Below are 25,069 nucleotides of genomic sequence, written 5' to 3'. Positions count from 1 at the left end.
TCATTGTCATTTCTATTCATTTTCTGCTGCACAAAAGCCTGGTGAAATTCTGCCACAGCATGTGTAACATGTTGACTTCCTGACACTATTTTATCTCATTAAAGAGGAACTTTATGTCCAATAGCATCTGGCAGTCAGTAGTGTTTCTAGGATATATTTAGAAACTACTATCTCAAGGAAAAAAGTTAAAGAATAAAGGAAGCATGTTTGTGTTGAGAATTGGATGAATATCCTGTTCCAGACCTACCTCCTGATTCTCCTTTTTTCTACTGGCTCTTTCTTTTTTTCTGTGGATTAATACAAATGGTTCTGAGCTGATATTACTGAGGGCAAACCCTGCTCTGGGTACAAACTAAAATGCGGCCTAATCCTATAATCCACTCTCTCCTTTCTCAAGCCATTCCATTTTACACAGTGCTGTTAATGCAAACTGGACATTGTTGCTTCTCAAATTATACTTTGTCTTCCATACACACACAAAAATACCGAAATATAAGTACATCACACATGCTTAAAACACATAATCCACAGTCTGCACTTTATGACATAGATACACATGTATATGGGTTTATATATGATGAAGATTACGTCACAGCAGTAAGCCATTGAGTGCATTTCACTGTCAGAACCGCACCAAACAGTACCTGGCACAAGCATGTACTTTCATGATTAACACCAGGGGGTTGTCAGATTGCTATATCTGAAATAAACAGATTTACCCTGACAGATAATCAGCATTTTGCACTGCCTAATACATGTTTATCTTTCACTATCGACGTAATTACACTAACAGTGCACTTAATATCATCTTTCATAGGAAATTAAACAGGTTTGAATGATATACTTATAATGGATTGGGGACAGAGTATGAAGGAGAGAAATATCAATACTAGATGTTTTGGGAGAACACATACATGAAGCAATGATGAGGGAATCAATGAACACCAGAAAAAAATCAATGGCAGTCTGTGTTTAAGGAATTCATTTACATAGTTTCCAAAGAAATCAGAAAAATCCTACAAGCTGTGAAATACCCTCTTGATTTTTTCATGTCCTGATGCTTCTTTTCTTCTGACATGTGCTCTGTGCTCTCCTCTCACACAGAAAAAGCTAAGAAGGAGAGTCCTCTTAGAATGAATTTTATATTTGTCTGATCCATAGTCAACTCTTTCAAAAGTTTGCAATCTGCCTTTCGAACTTTGGTACTGGAAACTCATAGTGGCCTGCACAGATACCACTTTCAGAAGGAAATTCAGCAAGCTCTGAATTAGCACCTATCACCCGAGTGGCTAAGAGCAGACAGGCATGCCATTTTAAGAGCCGTAGAAATTAACACGTGCTGGTCCATAGGCATCAGGCCTTAAGGATATTAAATCAAGACCTGAGAAGCAGAATTGGGTGAAAATGTTAATTTAAATCAACATTATAAATGTGACCCCCAGCATAGGAAGCATCTTTCTTTAAGGATATGCTAATTTACACCTGTGGTCTGCTCACTGACTGTGAGAAGACCTAAGAATTTTAAGCCTCACTTTGTTAGTAACAGGTTAGGATCAGCGCTTTGATGTCCCATAAATCTCTTTTCTTTTCTTAGCTACAAAATAAAATGAAGTCATGAAACATTTAAATACTTATGTCTGTGAGTGGGATCCAGGGTACTATAAATTTGATTTTGAACAGAAAACAAAATGAGGATAGAGAGGTACTTCAAATGTCTTCAGTGAACTTAGTATTGTTTTGGGCATGTAGCAGACATTATTTTATTTCTTTACTATAAAGCTGAGAAATGGGTATTTTTTCCATTTAAGGAAGCTGAAGCTCAGAGAGATTCAATAATACTCTCCGTATATTGTATTCCAACTTAGGTCTGTCTGTCTGAAACTAGTACTCTTTCTGTTTCATTATGTTTTCTCTGTAAATTCAGTTTACATGATTTTTAAATGTCTTTGGTTTTTGTTTTCCAGTGAAGAATGCAGAACTTTAAACCAAGGTCCTACATCCCTCTCATCAATTAGAAATACATATCCACAGTCACCTGTAAACTGCTCCATCCCTCTCTGAATCCGATAACACCCCAGAAGCCAGTATACAATGGCTTTTCACTTGCTAATCAAAAGGATTTCACAAATACTCTTAACATCTCAATGGCTAAAGGCTGAAAAAATGAAATGACTAAGAGCTGAGAAACAAAATGCCTCTAGCATGTGGTTAGAGTACCTCAATGGGTAGAAAATCCATATGTTTAGTTCCTTTACCTACCCCGAATATTTGGAGGAACTGGGACCTTTCCCCTGGGCCCTGGCACCCAGAAGGGGAAAGAAAGTTCTGCTTTCTATCCACGTTTGTGAACCCCAAACTCCTTTTTCTGTTTTGCTCCTGCCAGCACTGCCTCCTGAGGTCCACGTCTCATTGTTCCAGGAGCATGCTGGCTGGCGATCATTGTAACTTGGAAGCTGCCCTGAAACCCACTTCTCTGACAGGCTCTACCTCCACATTGGTTGGGTGATGGCGTCCGCCCGGGTAAAACTGGATTTGCAAAATTCCTTTTAGAACCTGATTTATGGTTGTAAACTCTTTCTGTAGATTTCTTATTGGATTGACTATTCCATAGTTTGCCTTAAAAGCCACCTTACATTCTCTTTGCTTCCATCGTTGCTTAGGACCCTAACTCCTCTTAACGTATTCATTCCTGGAGAGCCAAAGTTTCAGGACAAAGAATAATTTCCTTTAAGATTAATTATTATTTCCATTTCATTTATAGTGTCTGAAGATTTAGTGACAGAGGTTTAAAAGCTGAAAACTGAAGTTACTAAAAAATGCCAAAGTCTGAATTGTTTAAAATCTCCTAAACCCTCCTCTCCTCATCTCTTCCCCATTCCCCCACTGTCTTCTATATTTCTGTATTTTACTCTTTGTCTTTCAGTCTCCTTCTTTTCTTAACTTTTCACCTTGGTTCTTTTACCAGTTGCCTCTCCTTTTAACTTCCAAAAAGAGAAATCATAGTATATATTTTTTATCCATTGGAATAATTTCCTTTCTTGTTGCAATTTTTAAAATTAAGCATGTGTAAATTTTAATATGCTGTCAGAGAGCGTAGGCTCAGTATTTGGAATATAGCTAAGTCTTAAGAAATGTGTTGGATGGATAGATGTTCCTCTCAAATTTGTTTCCTCCTGAAACAAATTTTAAAAAATATATAACATAAGCTAACTCGATTTTTACAAAATTCAATCAACCATTCAAATATTAATCAAGAGTAGGCTTTAGTCTTAGTGCTGAGGCTAGGACTGTGAAGGACACAGATTAAATATGATTTTCACCCTCAAGTAGTTTACAAACTACTGGGAATACAAGAATATGACCCATGAAACAACCTGGGAAATATGAAAAAAGAACGTAATTAGAGGCTGACTTGTGTGATATAAACTGCAGGCATTGAGAATAGACAGAAAAGAGGTCTCAATTACAGAAAGGGCACTTGATTAATTTTTCCGGGAGAAGATAGAAGGAACTATGTATAACAACAATCATAAAACAACAACAACAGTAACAAACAGACTTTCTAATCCTGGTACATCTTATCTAATGAAGTTTTGCTTACCAAAATGTACGTCTTATCTAATGAAGTTTTAGTTTTGAGCTTGTATATGTTAACTGTCCAGTCTAAACTGATTGCTAATACATTTCAGAGTTAAGTTGTTTAAATATTTTTGCACACCTTCCTCAGTGAGAAAAATCCCTTGGTTTTATATTTAATTTCAGGAAATTGACATCTTTTTAGATAGGGAGCTCAGTATTACAGCCAAAGAATTTAGTAATGAGGGACACGTTCTTCAAATGGTTGTAGGTCAGTTTTAACTCCATTGAATGTTTCTATCAACACAGACTCAAAATCACCATCCTCTGTTCTCTTCTCACCACTCCTCCCTTTTTTTTTTTTTTTCTTTCAAGGAGAGAACAACCAAGTAACAGAGAAATCAAATCTGAAAAGAATGTCTCACAGGCTAAGGGACTCACTCAGCAAGAGATGATGGCAGGGTTAGCTCAAATTTAAATTAATTCCCAACCTTTCCCATACCAATGGTCGACATCTAACTTGGCTAATCTGGGCAAAACTGATATATTAAAATAACTTTAAAGATAGGTTCTTGGGCTTTCTGCCTGCCAGCAGATAGAGGTTGTGGATATACAGGGCAGTCCATCTGCCTGATACTTCAAAGATCTAAAAAGAATGCTGGTATCACAGAATACAATCAAAATTGTTTTTCATTTGTTACTTGAGAAATGTGTAGCTTGCTCAATTGCTACTGACCCATGTTCTGCAAACTTCTGCCACTTGATTATGTGTTGATGATGTTTGGGTTTTTGTTTATATTAGATATCTGATATCCACAGGTCAAATAAACACAGTCTTTGAATCAGATACCTATGAGTTACATGCGTAATAGTTCATCTTTTCACATTGGGAGGAAAGAAAGTGGGAGACAATTCAAAGGCTATCCCAAATAGACAGAAATAAGGCCACAAATGCTGCCCTGTATAGACCTGTTCTTACTCAGTTCTCCTTAAGGAGATAACAATTACTGACACAAGAACAGATAATTATATTCAATGTTTCACCGTCAGACCGTTTAAACATGCATTGCTACTTCATTTCTTTTCTTTATCTGCTTTTCTAATGTGCTGGTGTATTTTGGCTGGGGAAATTTTCATTCAGATGCATCCAGTGCAGTGAAAGGTAAGGAAAAGAGCCACTACTACCCAGAATATTTTGAAGAAAGGTATGACAAGACAGAAAAAAGTATTTTTTCTGATGTGAACAGTTGTTTGCATCAAAATTTTAATTGTTATCAGAACTTCAATGGAGTTGCTAGGAAAGGTAGTTAGATAAAGCCTCAGGTTAATTTCCATCATTACTGAGCACTTTACACCACTGACAAATTTTAAACATATAAAGAGATGTCAATCTTGCTCTTTAGACAGAAAAACAAGGTGGGGAGTGGTGGCTCTTCAAAGGCTGTCAGTAGACAAGTCAGTCAATTACAGATCTGATTTAGTTCTTAACTCCTTGAGGTAAAAGACAAATGTTCTGTAAGAGTAACCATTCCTGACATACGTTAAATGAAACAACTTCTAAAACCTGTGTGATAATGATAATACAGATTGAGATGAAGAACTTTGAAAAGAGTTGGAAAATCAGAATCAGATATTTGAATCCAGATGACAAATGGGTAAATCGGAGCACTTTTGCTATTTGTGGGGGGTGGAATGTCCCTACTACTAGTCATCAGAGATAATTAGGAAGGCATTATTGTGTGAGTTTTCAAAGCCAGGAACAGAATAAATGGGTTCACATCCCAGTTCTGTCCCAACTGTGTGGCCTTGGCTAAGTTACTTAAACCTCTCTGTACCTCTCTTTATCTTTGAAATGGGGATGATGGTTTCACTGACCCCATAGTGGTGGTGTACAAATTTAAGTTATTACCTATAAAGCAAAATCCATTGGGTTTTCACTCAATATCATAATCAATCCATATGCAGCAATAACTTCCATGATTTAGGAAATATATACGGTATTACAGAATCCTTCTTGAAATTTGAAATATTTACAGAAGATATAGGCAGTGAATGTCTGCTGATGACGCACATCATTTCCCCTTAAGCAGGGTCGCAAGTTTCTACAGCCCCAGTGAACACTCCTGAAGTTAGATAAAACTTATTAACACCTTCCATAGCATCCTTTTAAGATGATAATTTATCTTTTTAACTGTACTCAGTAAAAGCAGCAGCAAAGAGCCAGGTGGGAATAACAACATGGTATTATATATAGCCATAAAGTTTACCAGTTCTATAGATTCTGCTGCAAGGCACACTAAAATGGAGTAAAATGTAACTTGTCTTGAACAGTTGCTTGAATGAGTTACTAGAGGAATGGCAAGTTTACAGATGAGGCAAAAGAAACCCAAGGGAGTTGAAGGCTGTGACCATTTTATTTTGGATGCATAGTTGTAAAACCTAACTTAAGGCATACAAGTTAGGTCTTTGGAGAGTTTTCTCAGAGGTTTGCAAACAAATGCGAAAGTCTATAAAATATGTGCTTTTGAAATAAGTCTCTGTGAAATGATGGTGTGACATTCCATGGGGAGTGCCTTTATACCTGTCAAACCCTGGTAATTTGGTTGAAAAGAGAATGTCTCATTGTTTGCATTTTCTCTGTCCCCAAAAGATCTCCTTGGCCACTTTTTATATCTATCCTCAGCTTGACTGCTGACAGAGTATTACATGGCGTTCCTTTGTTCTGAAAGGGCATCCTTTAGTTTCACACTAGTCTCAAGTTCACATAATCAGGCAATCCCACGCACCTTTCCATCTGTTAAGGTTTTCCTGTGTAGGGTGCTGTTCTCAAACTCGTTTTAAATATGAAATTGTCATCCTTTACTGTTAGTGACAAATCCTTTTCTTTCCCTGTAATGCTGAAGGTGTGAATGGAATTCTCCAGCGACAGTGTCTGTGAAGAAGATATTCACGGACAACTACATGGCTCAAATAGATAAATTCAATTAGCCCTTCCTGGAAAGCCTCAGTTTACTTTACAACTCGGCATTTCAAAGAATTTTAAAGAAATTCTAATTACTGTGTAATAAATAAGTCAAATTCCTCTTCTCTCACTGTGAAGGTCTTTTATTACCCACTGCTATAAAACATATACCTTTTTTTTTTCGGTTGCTATCCTAGCCGAGTAGCTTGCATACCAGTAGGATCACTAAAATGCCACGAAGCAGAACATATTTATCTGTTAAATTCTACGTGCAGTAACCTAACAAATGCCAGAGACAGAAAGATTGCCCTCTGCACAGTAATACTTGTGTAGATGTCTTCTTTATGCTAACAATGACAGGGCTTCATGCCTTGTACTGTACTCAAAAATCAAGGCGCATTTTTTTTTACAATAGAAGACTCTATCAAAAAGAAAAAGAACTGCACATTTTTGGCATTGAGATATTTTATGTGGATAATAAATTTTTTTTCCTTCGAACTTCACTAACTACAAGTATCTACCTAGAAGATGAAATGTAAGATTTATGTCATCAGAACTATTCAGTATACCAGAGGATAATTTTTTCTTCTTTTCAGGACTGTCAACTTTGTTTACTGCTTATGTTCAATTCTATCTTATATAAGAGATTAACTAGCCTTGTCATAGCCACATGTCAAATCCTTCTTAGAAAAATAAGGTAATAAATGCAAAATTATATTAATAAGGAGTACTTTCAAAGACATATTGCATTTATTGAAATCTAAATTGTAACTGGAATGTTCTAATTATATTTGTACTAGTCAAAAAGAGATTTTAAAGTCTATAATGTTATGACATTTCAGTATGTTTTAAAATTGATATGACTAAGGAGTGATTAAAATATTATAAGTAACTTCAAGGAGACACATATGAAGTAACGTAAGCCCAGGAATTGCTTACATAAATCACCATGTGTATTGTCAAATCTGCTAGACTCTTACATGCATTTTTAATCCAAACCTAATCATTTGGCTATTGAAATCATTCTCAAAAATTGATCTCAAACAGTGTTATACAAACATTCAGGTTTTTTAAAGCCTTGCTACATTAAACTTTTCTGTAATACAATTTCAATCTCAAAACAATAAATAATCACATGGATAATGACAGTAACTGAATCCTAACTATTTGTAATACTTCTGCATAGCCTAGTAACAATTTTAAAATGGTGAAGAATAAATCTATCTGACAGGCCTGTTAGCAATAAGGCCTTCAGCTTTTTGCTTTGCAGCAAAATAAAGTAAAATCTATTATTTTGTTGCTGTTGTTAAAAACATTTCAACAGTTAGTTATTTTTCACAGAAAATGCTGCAGGAGGGCTCCAGGTTAAAAAAAAAATTTGTTACGGTTGAATTTTACACTTGGCTATTATTGGCCAGCATACATAATAAGTTAAAACATACTGAGAAATTAATGTTTTTCTAAGAGGGAAAACTTGATAGAGGATTATATTTCTACATTAGAGAGTGGATACTCTAATCTTTCTGGCATTGTAAAACTGAAGCTTGCTGCAGGGAAAATAAACATTATAATACCCAGCACTTAAACAATTGTACCTATATGGTTAAGTAACAAAAGCGTGAGGCACCTGGAATCACAGTATTTGTACCTAATGCCAGCAACAATATAAAGCATTCAAGTGACATTTGATAATGAGCAGACAGTGGAGGCATTACACACGTCTTTAGAAGAATCAGACTTCCTACCTTGAAAAGACAGATGGAGGTAAGTTCCTTTATAAAAAAAAAAAAGTTGTAAGTAAAGCCAGGCAGCAGTTGCAGTAAATTGAGTCCTTTCAGTCACTGTATACATACAGCAGTTCTGCAATAAGGGGAAAAATATAATGGGAGGAGCGGCTGTGAACGAGTGACCTCCTCAAGCTGAGTCCTCTCTGTGAACCAGGCATTGAGAGCCACGGCTCCTGATTTGCATGGATTATCTCCACTTGAACAGATACAGAGCAGATACATTTAAATTGAGCTGGCACAATGGCAAAAAGATGGAAGAGTGCATGAATGAGGGACAGCGCAAGAGAGGGAGAGAGAAAGAGAAACAGACACGAGATCGGAGAGCGTGGATAAGCTGGTTCTTGCAGAACTGTGTCTCAGAAGAGCTACAGCTCCCTCTTCATGTCACAGTTGTAAGATAAGAAATGTTGTCATTAAGAACTGGTTAATCATAGAGAAAAATATACTCAGATTAGCTGATGTTTGATCCCATCCGATTTTTATGAACATTTTATGATTCTCCCTATTTTGTCATTAGGATTTTAGACAGCATACCAAAAATCTTTTATTAGTGGCCAGGTACACAAATTTGGATGAAATTCTGAGTTTTGAATGAGATCGGTGTTTTGGCTTGAATGGCGTAGACAGCAGTGAAAGAACACAGACAATTAGTTAAGTGGAATATTTATTTTGAAAGAAAATTAATCCCTGTTAACTTTCAAAGAGCCAGTGATATATACTGCAATGTAAATAGAAAATAGTACTTAAATATTTCTTAATGATTAATTATCTGAAAAGAACCCAATTGTACTACTGAATGGGAGCTTTTTAAAAATCTCTTTAAATTGTTATTTTTGTTTTTCATATGGCTTCTTATTGGCATTTCAGGGTAAAAGAAATCCCTCTCTTTGTACAATACAGTTGTATCTTTAAATAAACAATGATTATTAACTTATTCATTTAGCATCTTTGGAGTTTTTCTGGGTTGTTTTATATTCATATTCTTGTTTTAAAAATGAGAAAGAGGAGAGGGCAAATATGATCATTACTCTTGCCAACAGCCACTCAATAAGTCCATAGCAGATCTCAGAAGAAAATAATAACCCTCTTTTAGCAAGCTAATGTGAAGCCTGCCTTCTTTTGTGTAAAGGTATCTGCAGATACTTAAACAGCCCAGCAATTAGGTGAATTCAAAGGAAAAATCAGTCAAACCAACTAGTTGACTGAATTGATCATAGCCTTGTAGGAGCTAGCATTAACTTGGTGTGAACCAAGTGATATAGGTTAAATATATTTCAACAAATGGCATTAAAACTCTCAACATAAACATATGAGCATATTTGCAGGGAGTAGTAGGGAGTTCAGTTAGATTTTTGCTGCTATTGGGACTCTATAGACTGTCAGGAAAGATAAAGAATTTAAACACACTACACTTATAAGGACTCTGACTTGATGGACAGAAGTGATACTTTAAAAGAAATCTCAAGGAAAATGCCAATACACATTTCCATGAGATTTAGTGACGATCTGGAGTTTCTAAAGTATGCAGACTTAGTGACTATAACAGTGTTTAGGAGACAATTGCCTGAAAGTAAAAGGGTGAAGACAATAGTTATTTTATGTCTCTGACATCCAATAGTCTGATTGCTCTCTAAGTGGTTGGGTGACTTCTCAGGTTTTTTTCTATTTGGACACAGCTTGTACACAGGTTGGACTTGTAATGTTACTGAGGTGTTAATATTACTTTTCAGGTTGTAAACTCTTTTGAATCAGGGACCATACGATTTCCTCTAAAATATCTCCCCAAATATTTTGAAAATGTCTTTTACATATTGTAGATGTTTCATAAATTTTTGCAGAAAAAATATTGAAAATCACAGCAAAGTGTTTATATTTCCTTTACCAGTCATTTAATATAAAAATTGGATGCAGAAATTATGATGTATTCTGTACTCTCATGAATAGAAAAGGAAAGGTAAATATAAATGTCTTGTCATATAAAGAAGAGTGATAATAGTACCAGTAGTGCTAGATTGTATATTGACATGTAACCACAATTAGGTGCCCCTTATTGAAACCAGGGATGCCTTCCAGATGGCATATTTAGGGGTCTGAGTCATAACTTTCTGGACACCAGTTTTGTGACTCAGACATTTATCTGTCTGACCATGGGCAAGTTAGCTAACTTTCTTATAAAATGTGGATAATAAAATAACCTTACTTTTATGGTTGGTGTAAGAAATAAAGGAAAAGGATTAGCATAGCACCTGGGTAAACACTTAATCAGTGTAAGGTATAATTATAATTATTAAAAATCTGTTTCCATTGAACTTCATTGCCTATCTGTAAACTGGGAAGTGTTACTATGGTGTCTACTGAATGTAGAAAAAAGATGAGTTTGTTATTGGCTTTTTCTGGTCATTGTATGAGAGGGGGCTCCTTCCTGTTCCCTGACAACCAGAAAGAAGGGTGCTTTTACCTTTTTATAAAAGACAAAAATAGAAATACTGTTCTCAGGAGAGCCAGAGAGTGTTGTAGCAGCAGATCCAACCTTCTGTACAGGAATGGAAATGGCTTGTGTGGTACAATGTGAAGGGCACCCAGAAGCACTCTGGTCCAGAAATATCTTCCCATCTGTCTTCTCCTATTTCCTGAAATGCCACCATTAGGGGTTCATTTCTATGTTTTACTGGCTTCCCAGTCTCTTTTTCAATTCACTCACTACTGGCAAAATTAACACGTGAACAATTTACACTTAGAGTGACACATGAATTCACAGTAGTTTTAATTATTGTATCAGAGATACTTTTTTCTAGTAACTGGTTGAAGATAAGCATGCCAAGGAAAGGTCAGATTTCAGTTAAGGTAGAGAGAAAGCTCCTTTGGCGTATGTGGCGCTGTGTGGGGGTAATGAGGATGGCGCCCTACCTGTGCTGCTAGTGTGGGAGGGACCTTGCAGCAGCAACTCAGAGAGTGACTGTGGAGGTGCTGGCCTCCTGGTTCACCAGAATGATGAGGAGGGATTCATTCATTCATTTATTCAATAAAAACGCAGTGTTTTGTCACAAGAACCTAGGGTATATATATGAAAATGTATCGTCCTTGCCTTCAGTTTTTAGCGGAAGTGATGGAAACAGGTAGGTAAACAGATTGATACTAATATTGGACAACTGTACAAAGAAAAAACATTCAGAGGAAAGAAAGTAAAGAAGGCAAAACACAGTTGGGGGTAATTAAGGAGTTCTCTGTAGACTAGATGATGCTTCATGTGACTCTTGACGACAGAGTAGGAGCTGTTTGGGCAAGTAAGGGATGCAGGAGGAGAAGGCCGGGGTGAATGAACACGAGGACGGAGGGCAGGACAGCAGGAGAGAGCGCCACGAGCCGGGGCAATCAGTGGCATATGCTCAGAGCATAGAGTAGAGGATCAGTGGGAACTGGAGACAGACCAACTGGAATGTTAGGGCACGACTGGGGAGCAGGTCACAGAAAGGAGAAACACTGGGCATAAGCATGATGGGTCATTTGTACCTCCTGGGCCTCAGCCTTCTGCTTGCACATGCGTTCTTCCAGGCTCCCCAGACCTGGGAACACACACATAGAGAAAAGTTTAAATGACAAGGAGTGCTGTCTACCGTGACAAAAAGGGGGATATAGTGCCAATTAGATTAGAGATCTAAATATTTAGGGAGTGGAAATGTTCCAAAATTGTTTGTGAGTATCTGCCACCCCATTTCCTAACCCAAAATGGGTATATTCTTATATGAATTAAAATTAATTGTATTTGGAGACTTCGGGTGCAGCAAATCAAGGTGGGAATTGCTGCTGGAGTCCTGGAAATCATTTAGCTTAGAAAAAATATCGCACTTTGAAATCCTTAGGGAGATGGATTACCAGCATTAATGCCATTAATGTTAATGATGGGTAATAATTAGAAAATTATATTTATAAAACAATAATGATAATCGAGTCAAACCAAATAGCAAACCTCCCAAGTCTAATATAAGACACTATAAGCTTCCCATTCTCTTCTATTGCTTGAATTTTAGTTTTTTTGACATATTTATCCAGAAAATATTGAAGTTTCTATACTTAACCCAGGAATGACAAATTGCTTCTTGTAAATATTACGCTTACAGTAAAATTCACTATAAGATAAATGATTACATAGATATTGGACCCAGTAGTGGGAAATACATTTGAATTCTAATAAGGACTGGTTCAAGCTTAAAAACAATTAATAACTGTCAATTTCCCATAAACACAATGACAAGTAAAACCTCCAGAAAGGGCACCTAAACCACAAATGATTAAAAAATTATGCTGATTAACAGAATGACTGACTATATTAGGATTATTTTAAATTATCTTTCGATTGTAGCCCTCCCTCCTCACCCCCACTGGCTACAATGGAGGTTGAAAGAGTGGTTTCATTCAACATTCCACTCTTTTCCCAAAGATTTAAAAACTATTTAATGTTCCATAGTAGCCAGGGAGGTATGCTATTTGAGTTTCCCTTCAATAAAAACCTTGTGGTTCTGCGGCAAGGAATGAAGTTAGCTAACAGACTCCACCTTCAGAATTCACCTTATCAGGTAGTTCTTAGAGAATGACCAAGCTTAGTGGGTTTCTTTAGGCCTGTCTCTTTCCGCCCAGTGCAGGATTCCTCTCATGGGCAGCTTTTATTCCTAGTTCCCTTTGGGTTGGTCAAGACTGTCAGATTTTCACTGTGGTCTGAGGCTTACCTGCTCAACCCCGACTTTTTCCTCTTTTGATTTTCAGAGGTTTGGGTCCCTGATCAAACTCTTAAGACTCTTACATCCCTGTTCCCTCTCAGTGTTTGTTTCCCAGCAGACACAAGTTCCTAACAATTAACAATTTTTACGTGATGCAGAACCAACCCTTTTTTCTCATTCCTTCACTTCAATGTTCACAGAACTGGTCTGGCTCTCATGTATCCATAGGACTCCTAGACAGCTCCACAGCCATTTCTACTTCCCAGATATTCTTATTTTTGGAAAAATATTCTTTGCAGAGGTAAAGGTTCTCCAGGACTTGCTCCCACTGAATTGGTTCTCAGATTACTGCTTTGTTTCCACACCTCTGGTGTACTGAGTACAAAACATAAGCACTCTACCAAACACAGAATTGAATAGCCCAACAGACTTATTAGACTAACTGCAACAGACAGACAGGCAGCACAAACAACAGGTTGATGTACTTAGATCAATAAGGCTCTGGAAGACATTCAGGCTCAGTGCTGAAAGAAGTTCACATTAAGGAGGGTTTGAAAGATGTAAGAGAATCTAAAAGGATCTTGCTGGTAGGTAGTGTGAATTATTTGTGATATAAAGAGTGACAGAGAAAAATGGATGAAGCTTTAGGAATGAAGTCGTTAGTGAAAATGATTGGGCACTGGGATTTTAAATTCAATTCCTAGCTCTACTACCAAGGTACTTATATGTTTCCATTGCAAAAAGGATAAAAACTTGCCGTTGTATTCCATTTGTAAAACACTACCTGTTTCTCAGACAATGACATTGCTTAACAATAAAGGCATATCACTATTATAGAATCCTTTGCATTTTAGATTCTAAGATGAACATCAATAAGGAGGAAAAGAATCCTTTTGAAAAACTTTGGCGCCTGCAAGACATTCCTAAAGAAAGCAAGAAAGCCAACTGACTTATGCGAAGAAGGTATCTACCTTGGCCGGGCGCGGTGGCTCACGCCTGTAATCCCAGCACTTTGGGAGGCCGAGGCGGGCGGATCACGAGGTCAGGAGATCGAGACCATCCTGGCTAACAAGGTGAAACCCCGTCTCTACTAAAAATACAAAAAAATTAGCCGGGCGTAGTGGCGGGCGCCTGTAGTCCCAGCTACTCGGGAGGCTGAGGCAGGAGAATGGCGTGAACCCGGGAGGCGGAGCTTGCAGTGAGCCGAGATCGCGCCACTGCACTCCAGCCTGGGCGACAGAGCGAGACTCCGTCTCAAAAAAAAAAAAAAAAAAAAAAAAAGAAGGTATCTACCTGAACTCTGAACCCTAAAAAAATGGGTCTACATAATACCTGCTATCACTCAAGAAGTAAGTATATTATTAACTTGTGTATACAGATACAACTATTCCAAGGAAAACCGCAATAATTTGTTGTTCCAGGTTAAGTAAGTAAGAATCCAACACCCTTAAAAAGTTATCCCAAATATTTATAATGTTTAAAAAATTTAAAAAATAATGCTTATTTTGACAATTTCTTGCATGCACCCATCCTAATTCTGATCTTTGATTCGAAGCAATAGTTTGCCCCACATGCAAATACAGGTTACAGATACTAAGTGTATAAGGATTCTGATGCGTATGTTAAGAGAATGGAGGAAGACCAAGAGATCATGGCATTTGCTGACTGAGCTGTATTTTCATTTCTCTTCCAATCAATTCTTTCAGTCATTCTTTCATTCATTTATTTCTTTAGTAAATATGTATTCAATGTCTACTGTCTAGGGATACAGTGGTGAACAGAGAGACTTGTTTCCTTTCCTTGTGGGGTTTATTAGCTAGCAAGGAATAAGTAACTATATTAAATGATATCCTAGATTGCAAAACCTGCAACAATAATTGGTAACTTCTATAGATGAGTGGAGTCTATTTTCTCATCTCTTGATTCTGGACTGGTTTTGTGACTTACTTTGACCAAAAGAAGTTGACAGAAGTTAAACTGTACCTGTCTTCCAGGGATCTTGTAGCCTCTGCTCACTCCCTTGGAATGCTTTGGCTGCTACGTAAACAATCCCAGGCCAGCCTGTGGAGGATGAGAGACAATATGGTGAAAGACCCCAGTCATCTCAGAAATCTCAGGTTAGGGCATCATAAATTATTCAGTTCCTGCTGACCCCCTAGCAAATTGCAGATGCGTGAGCTTGTCTAGCCTAGTGGCCAGTCAAAACCTGTCATCAATCTGCAAAATCATGAACTAAATACATGTTTTTTGTTTTTTTATTTTCTGGTTTGGTTTGGTTTTAAGTCACTAACTTTTGGGGGCTTCGACAAAAGCAGACTAACACAAATGACAAAAAGAGCTATGATAGGAATAAACTCAGGGCACAGAGCACAGAGATATGTTAATCCAATCTATTGATGTCAGGGAAGTTTACCAGAAGGAAATGACATTCAACCTGAGATGGATGGAGCCAGAGTGGCAGCTAGCTAATGACCTTGACCTCAGTGATGTAAAAGCTTTATAGGAAAGAAGGTATTCCTACCATATACATCAGAAATAACTGCAGATATTCAAGTCAAACACCTTGAAATTGCCCTTGATTCTACTTTTACTTCTCACATAAAATCCTCTGCAAATTCTGTCATTTTTACCTACAAATATATCTAGGATCCAGCCATTTTTCACCATCCCCACTACTATTCTTCAGATACAGAACACATACTCACCTGAATTAGCTCCTTATGTCCTATGGTCTCTGAGATAGGAAAGACTTCCTGCTTCCCTGTATTCTACATCCACCACAGAAACTAGAAAAAGTCAGCTAAACCACAAGTTAGATGTTGTCATTCCTCTGCTGAAAACCCTCTGTAGTGAGATGAATTGTCCCTACCACCCCAGAAGGTATGTTCATATTCTAACCCCTGGAATCTGTGAATGTGACCTTATTTGAAAAAAAAAAAAATCTTTGAAGATGTAATTAAGGATCTTAATATGAGATCATCTTGTATTATACAGATGGGCTCTAAATCCAGTGACAAGTGTCCTTATAAGATACAGAAGGAGAGGATGCAGTGACACTGAGGAGAAGGCCACCAGAACACAGAGGCAAATATATTGGAGTGACATAGTCCCAAGCCAAGAAATGCCTGGAGCCATGGGAAGACAATTGAGGTAAGGAGGAATTCTCCCTTAGAGCCCTCGGAGGGAGCAAGGATCTACTAACACTGTGAGTTTGGACTTCTGCCCTCCAGAAGAACTATGGGAGAATACATTTCTGTGGTTTTAAGCTACTTAGTTTATAAGAATCTGTTATGGCAGCCCCAGGAAACTAACACATCTTCCAAAGCTTTCTTATCTCTTTCAGAGTAAAATATAACCGCTGAAGTCCTAACATTGGTTCACAAGGCCATGCCTGGACTCCCTGCCCCTACATCTGACCTCTCTGGTACCATATGGCGCCCTCTCCCTACTCTCAGCATGTGAGCCTCTCTGATCTTACTGTTCCTCCATCACACAAAGTATACTGCCTTCTCAGAGCCTTTGTATTTATTGTTCCTTCTGCCTAGCATGGTCTTCCCTTGGATATTCTACTTGTCTGACTCTTTCAGAATTTTCCCCAAAAATGTCTTTCATGTAGTGAAGACCTCCCTGAACACCCTATTAAAATTCCATCCATTGCCCACTAATTTCCATCCTTTGCCCAGTCCTCTCCATCTTCTCTGCCTTACTTCTCTCTACAAACCTCATCATCTTTGACCCCATATATGTTCTATTTATTCATTTGTTTGTTTAGTGTCTTCCAAACTAAAATCTGAGCTCCATGAGAGAGATATCTTTGACTTTTCCTCACTGCTTTATGTGCAGTATTTAGGATAGATGCCCAGTGAATAACTGTTCATTTTAATAAATAATATGTTTACAATGTAAGGAAATTATTTATATGGAGAATCTGGAAACTGTTGACTTTCTCTACTTCTTCTGAGAAACAGTTCCAAATCTCTCTAGAATTCCTGTTAACGACTGAATCGAACTCATGCTGCTAATTCTCTGGAGTAAAAGAGCACAGATGTTCTAATTTTACAGGACAATGTCACTATTCTGTTATGGCAAGAGGATCATATACAATTTGTACTTTGAAGCCCCTTGGTTTTAACTTGTCACTTTACATTTGACTTCATGCTAGGCTCTAGAACTCTGAGTGAAATAGTAATGAGGGAATAGCAGCAGCCCTAGCAACAGGTAATGCAACTTGAAATTTAGGGGCTTTTTAGAAGGTTCGAAGGGAAAAGGATGAAAAGGTGGATACGCATGTAAAGTGGTCTTGGGATGAGGGACAGAGAACCTGTGTCCTTTGCTGATTTTCTTTGATGGGATTTCAAAGAATGTAGGGCATATGCTTAGAGATTGATAGCTTCTAAGCCTCCATTACATATATGTGTGGAGTATAAACACACAGAGTTTGTACTAACCTTTACAGTTCATGCTTTCTGTATAGGGGACTAAAAGCCCAACATCAAATGTATTTGGCAATTAAAATGAGTATATAGGTAGATAGATAGATGATAGATAGATAGATAGATAATATGCATATATATGTACTTATTTCTCCAAAATAGATGAGACTATATAAATAAAGCATTATAAGGCATCTTTTGCACCATGCTCAGTCATCAGAAAAGGAAAATGGATAAAACAGAAAGCTTCAGAAGCTCCTGTCACCATATCCAGGCTATTTGGCTTTAGTATGCAACTTCAGAGATGTCTGCATAGCAACAAAAACTGGGACAATACTTCTATCCTTTGAAAAGCAAGAGGAGAGCTGAAATAAAATTATAAGCAATCAGCAGGAACATAAATGAGAAGCTGTATTCCAGAAGTGGAATTAGTTCAACTAAAGTCTAACATAGTAAAGGAGTTTACAATGTTGTGGTATTTTAATTAGGGCTGGAGTTTGGGTTAGATTCAGATAAAAATCCTCAACTTCTTATCCCTGGCATACCAGCACTGCCCAAACATCTTGGTTTGCAAAATTATGCTGGGAATAGTGCCCAAACAGGATTTCTGAAAAGATTCTTGGGACTTTCTTTTTTGACTAAGGCTTGGAATTCTGCAAAGATTGCAAGAAACCCCCCACCCCCCACCGCCTTTTTTTTTTTTTTTAATGTTTTGGCTAGAAGCTGGGAGTGAAATAACATAAAATGTTTATGTGTACTTGCAATAAAAGTTACCTACACTAGTTTATGTATTAAAACAAAGTTCAAGTGAATTTTTTTTTTTATTTTCTCAAGACACATACTACAGAAAAGCAGACTTAACTATATGCTTCAGTTTGATGACAAAATGTAATAAATGGATAAGCATTTAAATAAAAATTTCAGTAAATCTGGAAATTGGTCATACATGAGAATATGAGGAATTCAATGAGAATTAAAAAACACATTATAGCATTAAAAAATTTCCTGCAGTATTGTTCTCTTAGTGCTTTGTAGTGAAAAAAAGTGGTTGAAATGTCTCTTCCACGCTTTTCTCACCTAGTAGAAAGTGGTCTGGGCAGGAGGATTTTAGACTTTTAAGTAAAATGACTTGGAAATATATGCAAATTTGTTACATAATTTCAAGGAAATGTTGTGACAAAAAGAGAAAAGTATACATCATTCAATAAAACTGTATTGAGCACTTTGATTTTGAAAATACAATGGACAAAACAAACACCAGGGAGGTTGCAGTGAAATGGTCTAATAGGGGATGCAGGCATTAAAATGGAAAACAGCCATCTGTCTGCATATCTATGTATCTACGTATGTATCTATCTATCTATCATCTATCTATCTATCTATCATCTATCTATCATTACCATCTATTTAATTATAGTCTGCAATATGTTTTATGATGAATTCAACTTGAGTACTCTGATATAAATGAGTTGGGGGCTGGAGAGCATACAGAGAGTGGCCAAGGAAGATTTAAGATTTAAGCAGAAAACAGAAGAGTAAGAAAAAGTCACCGTATGAGGTATGAGGAAGAGAACATTGCAGGAAGGGGAAACATCATGTGTGATCCTTGGTATGGGAAAATATTTGGCATACTTAGGAACAAAAAGAGGGTTGAGGTTGGAACTTAGAGAGGGAGGAAGGAAATGGCAGGAAGTGTAGTTGGAGAGGCAAGACTGTGGGAGCACTCAAGCATCCAGAGGCACAGTAAAGATTCTGACCTTTGTTCTAAATAGAATATAAAGACTGTAGAGGGGTTTGCATATTGCTCCAGGATGGGGCAGGTGTAGGGTGCCACAACTTTGTCGCGTTTCCGTTTTTAGATTGCTCTCAGCTATTGTGGAGGATGGCCTGGACCGAGGCACTAGTGAGAGTGGGGAAACCAACGAGGAGGTCACCACCATCAGAAAGATGGAGTACAAAGCGGGGTAGTAAGGGAAACAAACAGGAGTGGTAGAAGGTAGAAAAATAAAAGGACATGGTGATGGGCCATGAGGAAAAAGAAAGACTCAAGAATGACTTCTAAGTTTCTGGCTTTAGCAATGGGTAAATGATATAACTTTCAGAGATGGGAAAGGATAGGCGAAGAACTAGATTGGAAGGAAATGAGAAATTTTGTACACGTTATGCTTGTGAGACTCATGGTACCTCCAAGGGGAGATGTAAGGAACGTAAGTGGTTGGATATGGGAATCAGGTGCTTAGAGCAGCCTGGCCTAGCAATATAAATGAAGAAATGTGGTTATAATGAAGTACCCTCCCTGCTTAAACACACTCAGTGGATTCCCACTGCTACAGCATGCAGTTCAAGGTCTTAAAATTGTTATTGAAGCCCTTCTACCATCTTACCTTTATAAACTTATGTGATTTGTTATACATACAATTTTCTTCTGGATTCTAGTACAAGTTAAAATGTAAAGTGACAAAAAGCAAGATGCTCAGTTCTGCATATGACCCTCTCCCTTCTACATGATAGTGTCCCCTGTGTATTCACACTTTGTTTTTACCTCAGTAATAACACTTAATAGATGACAACACCATTTATCTATTTATAGTTTTGTCTACTCTACTGGAAAGTGCATTCATCAAGGACAAAATAGTTCTTATTAATCTCATTATACTCAAGGCCTAATACTCAGGGCCCAAAGTGCTTGACACATAGTACATGTTTAATAAATCTAACTGGTAATGCATATTAAACAGAGCAAATAATAATTAAATGTGCTTGGGGAGTGTTATAGTCTCTGAGCTCAATTCTGGAGTACTGTTGATTGGGGGCTGGGAATTCCTTAAGAGAGTAAATTATCTGCCCAGATATGACATACTTGATCTTCTGTGCAGTGTTAAATGGGGGTATGTAGTAGGTCTTGTGTTTGGTAGTGATAGTTTTAAACTCTCCCGCCATGCTTGGTACTCAAGGGGGCAACTGAAGGGAGGAGATGTTATAAGGAAAAGAAACCCAATGTCCTTTTCTCCCACTTGTAACTTAACCCTCACAATGCCACTATTAATAGAACAAAGAGATGCTATTTTCTTTCCACTTCTAAACATATTTAGGCTGCTCCTCAGAGATTTCTTTCCCTCTTCAAGTCTGTCTTGGAAGTGAATTTTCAACTGATTCTATTTCTATAACAATACACTTTGGAGCCAAAGAGTACATTTTATGACATGTTGTGGCTGGGCTCCTCATTCTCTAGGGTTGATCTGGCCTAGCCATGAGTACTCTTCCAGTACAGCCTGGCTCTTCTTCAGGAGAAATTAAAAAGATCTTCACAACCAATGTGGTCTTTAGTTGGCAACAAGCTCAAGAACTCTGCAGCATCTAGTTTCTTAGGTCTAACCTATTTTGAAAGGTATAGTAAGCCCCAGAAAACTTGGAAGTTTTAGAACTGCTTCATAATTCAGAACGTGAACAAGGCAATGTCCAGGAAGACCTGTGCATCAAAAGAAAAAAGGAAATGTGAAGGTGGCAGCTTGAGCTTATATTTTAAGAGGGTTTTCCTGTTGTGTGGCAAGAGACAGAAACTGTAAGAGCCTGGAATAAAAATTTGTAAATTCAAGTGCCATCAGAAGCCAAGAAAGCAAAGTGCAAGAGTGAAGCAGGCCTGGTATCAGACAATGGAGCCAGCATAGTGAACCATGGCCAACTGCAAAGTGCATGCCTGCCCTGCTCGAACCGAAAATAGACACAGTAATTAAAACACAACAAAACAAACAAATAAAAAACATGAGAGAGTGAGCCTTTAGGCATATACTTTAGGTCATGCTACTCTTCTGCTTACAACCCTTCAGTGCCCTCCCGTATCTCCCAGAGTAGAATGTAAGGCTCTTCCATTGCCTTGGAGGCCCTACTTGGACTGGCACTTCTCTGATCATACCTCTTACTACCCTTTTCGGCTTCAAGCCATTCCAGCCCCTTGGCCTCCTCACTGCTTCTTGAATGCAATCAACATGTCCTGGTCTCAGGCTTCTCTGCTTCTTGCATCCTCTGCCTGGAATAATCTTCCTCCAAACTGAACATACATTCCATCAGTTTTGCCAAGTGTCTACCAAAATGGTGCCTTGTTATAGACGCTGTCCCTGATAGCAATATGCCTTCATCACTCTCAAGCTCTGTTACTCTGTATTATTTTTATTATATTTATCACAATCAGACATTTTATATTTCTGAAAACATTTGAAGTGAATATACAGTATTATTTCCATAGCCACATTTTCTTAAATATGAGTTCGTGTTTGTGTGTGTGTATTTTACCAGTGTACCTTGGTTTTTTTCCTGATTAGATATTTCAATGTATGTTACACTGAAAAAGATGGACATTGTGGGGTTTTAAGTCACAATTTTATTCTTTTCCTCAATTTTCTTTTAAATAGCCTCTTTTGAATTGCTTTTCCCTCCCACTGTACAAACTCTTGGATATATCTCCTTATATTCCAGGTCACTCTCTTTAAATAACACAATTATTTTCCAGGTTTTAAAGTCTAATTTAGCATGCTCTCAAAGTTTCATTTACTGCTCTATCTTAAACCTTCTTCTGAACCACCAGTTTGGGGCTGACTCGGCTGAGTCAATGGCAATGTGGAAAGGGTTATGGCTGGCTTCTTCATGCTTTCTCTGTCTTACCATTCTACCTCTTGTTTGCTTCCCCAGCAGCATTCTGTCCTGGCTCTTCAGGTGCCACTGTAAACTGAAAGAGGTGCCCTCTTGGTGTGGCAGATGCCCACGTATTAACTATTTCACAGAGAACTTTTGTAGATTCTTCAGAAATGCTCCATCTGAGGGTTTCCTACTGGGTTATTCCTTAGCTCTGACTGAATGCCTAAAATGCCTCATTAGCTTCTGCATACAGTGGTACTTTCTCTCTGGATTTCCCTTTAGGTCCTTAAATTGACTCAAGACCAGCTTTCCTCTGTGGGTCTACTTGGCCCAGAAGAACATGTCTTTATTCTTGCCCTACACCCATCCATTTCCCCCACTCCTTCGGTGGAAGAGCAGCCATCCCTCTCCGAAGGCACTACTACTCTTCCTGCTCTGCTAAGCCAACCTCTTCCTTTTAGACTTTTCCTCAAGCCTGTTCTCAATCTCGAGAAGAAACATGCCAGGTGTTTTGGATAGCTATTGAGAGCTTCCTTCATTTGGCCCATCTGCAACAATCTTCAAAGAAATCCTTTCCCTATAAATCTCTTGACTTACTTATATCTGCCCTCAAGGTATAGTCACTAAACCATTTTAAAATATCCTTCATAGATGTTCTAGCATCTGCTAATCTTAGCCTTTGGGCCACTGAACAAAACTCTAGAAGAAAAGAGAATGTCATACTTAATAATCCACTGCACATATATTAAATGCATAATTTATATATTATATTTGCATCACATTAAAAAGGTAGGCCTTTTTTATGGCATGGCAAAAGCCCCACAACTCAAAGAAATGCAAAAAAGATCATTAATCCTTAAAAATATCCCATAGAAATGAGTAGAATCCTGTGAAATATAAATGTATATATATTGTAATGGTGTTCATATATTTTATTTATACAAATGCAACACATAGATGTAATAGTTATTTAACATGAAGAAATATCAATGGCAATATCTGCTAATATATTTGAAATTCCATTAGAGTGAGGGCATTATTCTAAGGGAAAAATACAGTGGAATGAGTTTAAGGCAATTCAGACAAGATTATCTGCATATCTTTTCAACAATTTGTCTGCAATGACACAGAATTTGTGAACAATATCAAAGAGAATAAAGAAGCCTTTATATTTTTGCAATAAATAACCTTTTATTCACACCTCCCTTTAAAAACAAAGAGAAACAATTTTAGGGAGAATGTTGGTGAAGCATTACGAAAGTAATGGAAAATGCGAAGGAGCTATTTCTGTGCCTCATTATACATCTTAAATTGCTGTTCCAGTATCCTAGCTTTGCTTAAACAGTTAACTACTGCCAAACATAGCAGTAGTTGACTCTCTGAAAAAGAAAAAACTGATTTTACTGTCTGCTTTTGGAACATGGAACAAACCAATGCTGATGGATGCCCAAACAACATGGAGGCCCTGTCCAGACTGAGCCACATGCCTAGGGATGGGGCCACTGGAGAATCAGGACTGTGGACAGTTGAAGTTTGAATTTGCCAAACTTGGCAATGGAGTTAAACTGCCAGCTTTACACAAAGCCTAGGACAAAGAAAATCAGGGCACTGAAATGCACAAATAATGTAAGCTGTAAGATAATATAGAATTTTTATTATCCTTTGAATGTCACTTCTACATAAGAAAGTAGCATTGTTCAGAAATGTGGGGCTATCTGAATCATCCAGGCCTTCTTCATCTTTTCCACTTCTATTTGGGTTTTTAGAAGAGAATGTTGGGTATTGACATGGTTTGGCTGTGTCCCCACCCAAACCTCACCTTGAATGTGACTCTCACAATTCCCACGTGTCATGGGAGGAACCTGGTGGGAGGTAATTGAATCATGGGGGCGGGTCTTTCTTGTGCCGTTCTCATGATAGTGAATAAGTCTCATGAGATCTGATGGTTTTAAAAATGGGAGTCTCCCTGCACAAATGCTCTTGTTTGCTGCCACGTGACACGTGCCTTTTACCTTCCACCATGATTGTGAGTCCTCCCCACCCATGTGGAACTGAACTGTAAGTCCATTAAACCTCTTTCTTTTGTAAATTGCCCAGTCTCTGGTATGTCTTTATCAGCAGTGCAAAAATGGACTAATACCGGTATAAATCCCACAACACCTCATTTTTTGAATAATTGTTTACCTAGCTGCTGGAAGAGTGGGGCAGAGGGCCAGCTTTGCCATCCAGGGTTTTGTTTATGAGATTGAGGCATTATAATGGGCTGAAGCCATTAGCGACTTAATTATTTGAAACAGATTTTAATCTCAGAATATGAAGTGATTCTAGAGGGAAGAAGCACACGCATATTCAAATATCACGGCCAGTAATAATAAATAAATACATATTTTTTGTTTTTTTCTTGGATGGTCCTTACAAATTTAAAATTAGGAAATTGGCTGAAAAAAATGAATTTCATATTTACTCATAGTTACTAGATGTTTATATATCCCATACCCAGAAAAACGCAATACTAACATCAAATCTCTGAAATCAAAGTGAATTATAGAACATTTAAAGAAATGCATGAAGAAATGAAGATAAATATTACCTTTGCTTTAGTTATCTCAATAGCTCTAACCACAGACAGTATTGTGTACTCTACACCAACCTGGAGACACTGTGGGAGCTCATGAGACCCCGAGGACAGAGATTATTGAATATTTAGACCTATGGGAACTGTAGCTCAGAAGCTTTAAGGAGAGAAGGCTATGTGCTTAGGGCTGCATACATGATGAGGCAAGGTCATCTCTATTTCTATCTGCTTCTCTGTCTTTTTCTCTCTCCTCCAATTCCCGCAATAGATTCCCAGTTTTATAGCTAAGTAGTCAAGAGGAGTCCAGCAGAATTGAGCTTCAGTTCTGTCTTCATTTCACATCTATATGATGGGGGGAATTTAATTTATCTTTCCAAATTTCAGATTTT

At 37.7% G+C, this 25,069-nt stretch overlaps 1 protein-coding gene and 1 long non-coding RNA gene across 9 annotated transcripts in view, besides 3 other annotated features; one reads left to right on the top strand and one right to left on the bottom strand.

Annotated features, from left to right (window-relative positions):
• ADGRL2 (adhesion G protein-coupled receptor L2) overlaps positions 1–8,661 on the bottom strand; it is a 687,801-nt gene extending 679,140 nt beyond the window's left edge. For all 8 annotated transcript variants that reach the window (XM_047416152.1, XM_047416118.1, XM_047416159.1 and 5 more), the window contains exon 1: positions 8,284–8,661. The gene's annotated coding sequence lies outside the window, so the exon portion shown is untranslated. The remainder of the gene's footprint in view (positions 1–8,283) is intronic.
• Positions 1,836–2,335: an enhancer, noted in NCBI's record as "OCT4-NANOG-H3K27ac hESC enhancer chr1:81778143-81778642 (GRCh37/hg19 assembly coordinates)". NCBI's record gives its function as "activates a minimal SCP1, AML or CMV promoter by ChIP-STARR-seq in naive H9 embryonic stem cells {active_cell/tissue: H9 hESC(naive)}" and the evidence as "EXISTENCE:reporter gene assay evidence [ECO:0000049][PMID:30033119]".
• Positions 2,336–2,837: an enhancer, noted in NCBI's record as "OCT4-NANOG-H3K27ac hESC enhancer chr1:81777641-81778142 (GRCh37/hg19 assembly coordinates)". NCBI's record gives its function as "activates a minimal SCP1, AML or CMV promoter by ChIP-STARR-seq in naive H9 embryonic stem cells {active_cell/tissue: H9 hESC(naive)}" and the evidence as "EXISTENCE:reporter gene assay evidence [ECO:0000049][PMID:30033119]".
• Positions 7,892–8,484: an enhancer, noted in NCBI's record as "NANOG hESC enhancer chr1:81771994-81772586 (GRCh37/hg19 assembly coordinates)". NCBI's record gives its function as "activates a minimal SCP1, AML or CMV promoter by ChIP-STARR-seq in primed H9 embryonic stem cells {active_cell/tissue: H9 hESC(primed)}" and the evidence as "EXISTENCE:reporter gene assay evidence [ECO:0000049][PMID:30033119]".
• A 7,361-nt stretch (positions 8,662–16,022) lies between the features above and the next one.
• Positions 16,023–25,069, top strand: part of LOC107985018 (uncharacterized) — a 30,564-nt gene continuing 21,517 nt past the window's right edge. Inside the window, exon 1 of the long non-coding RNA XR_001738115.2 lies at positions 16,023–16,190. This is a non-coding gene — a long non-coding RNA (uncharacterized LOC107985018). The remainder of the gene's footprint in view (positions 16,191–25,069) is intronic.

This window comes from Homo sapiens, chromosome 1 (assembly GCF_000001405.40).
Source record: "Homo sapiens chromosome 1, GRCh38.p14 Primary Assembly".
In the NCBI taxonomy this organism is placed as follows: Eukaryota; Metazoa; Chordata; class Mammalia; order Primates; family Hominidae; genus Homo; species Homo sapiens.
Note: the sequence above shows the minus strand (reverse complement) of the source record. Positions and strands in the feature narration are given on the sequence as shown.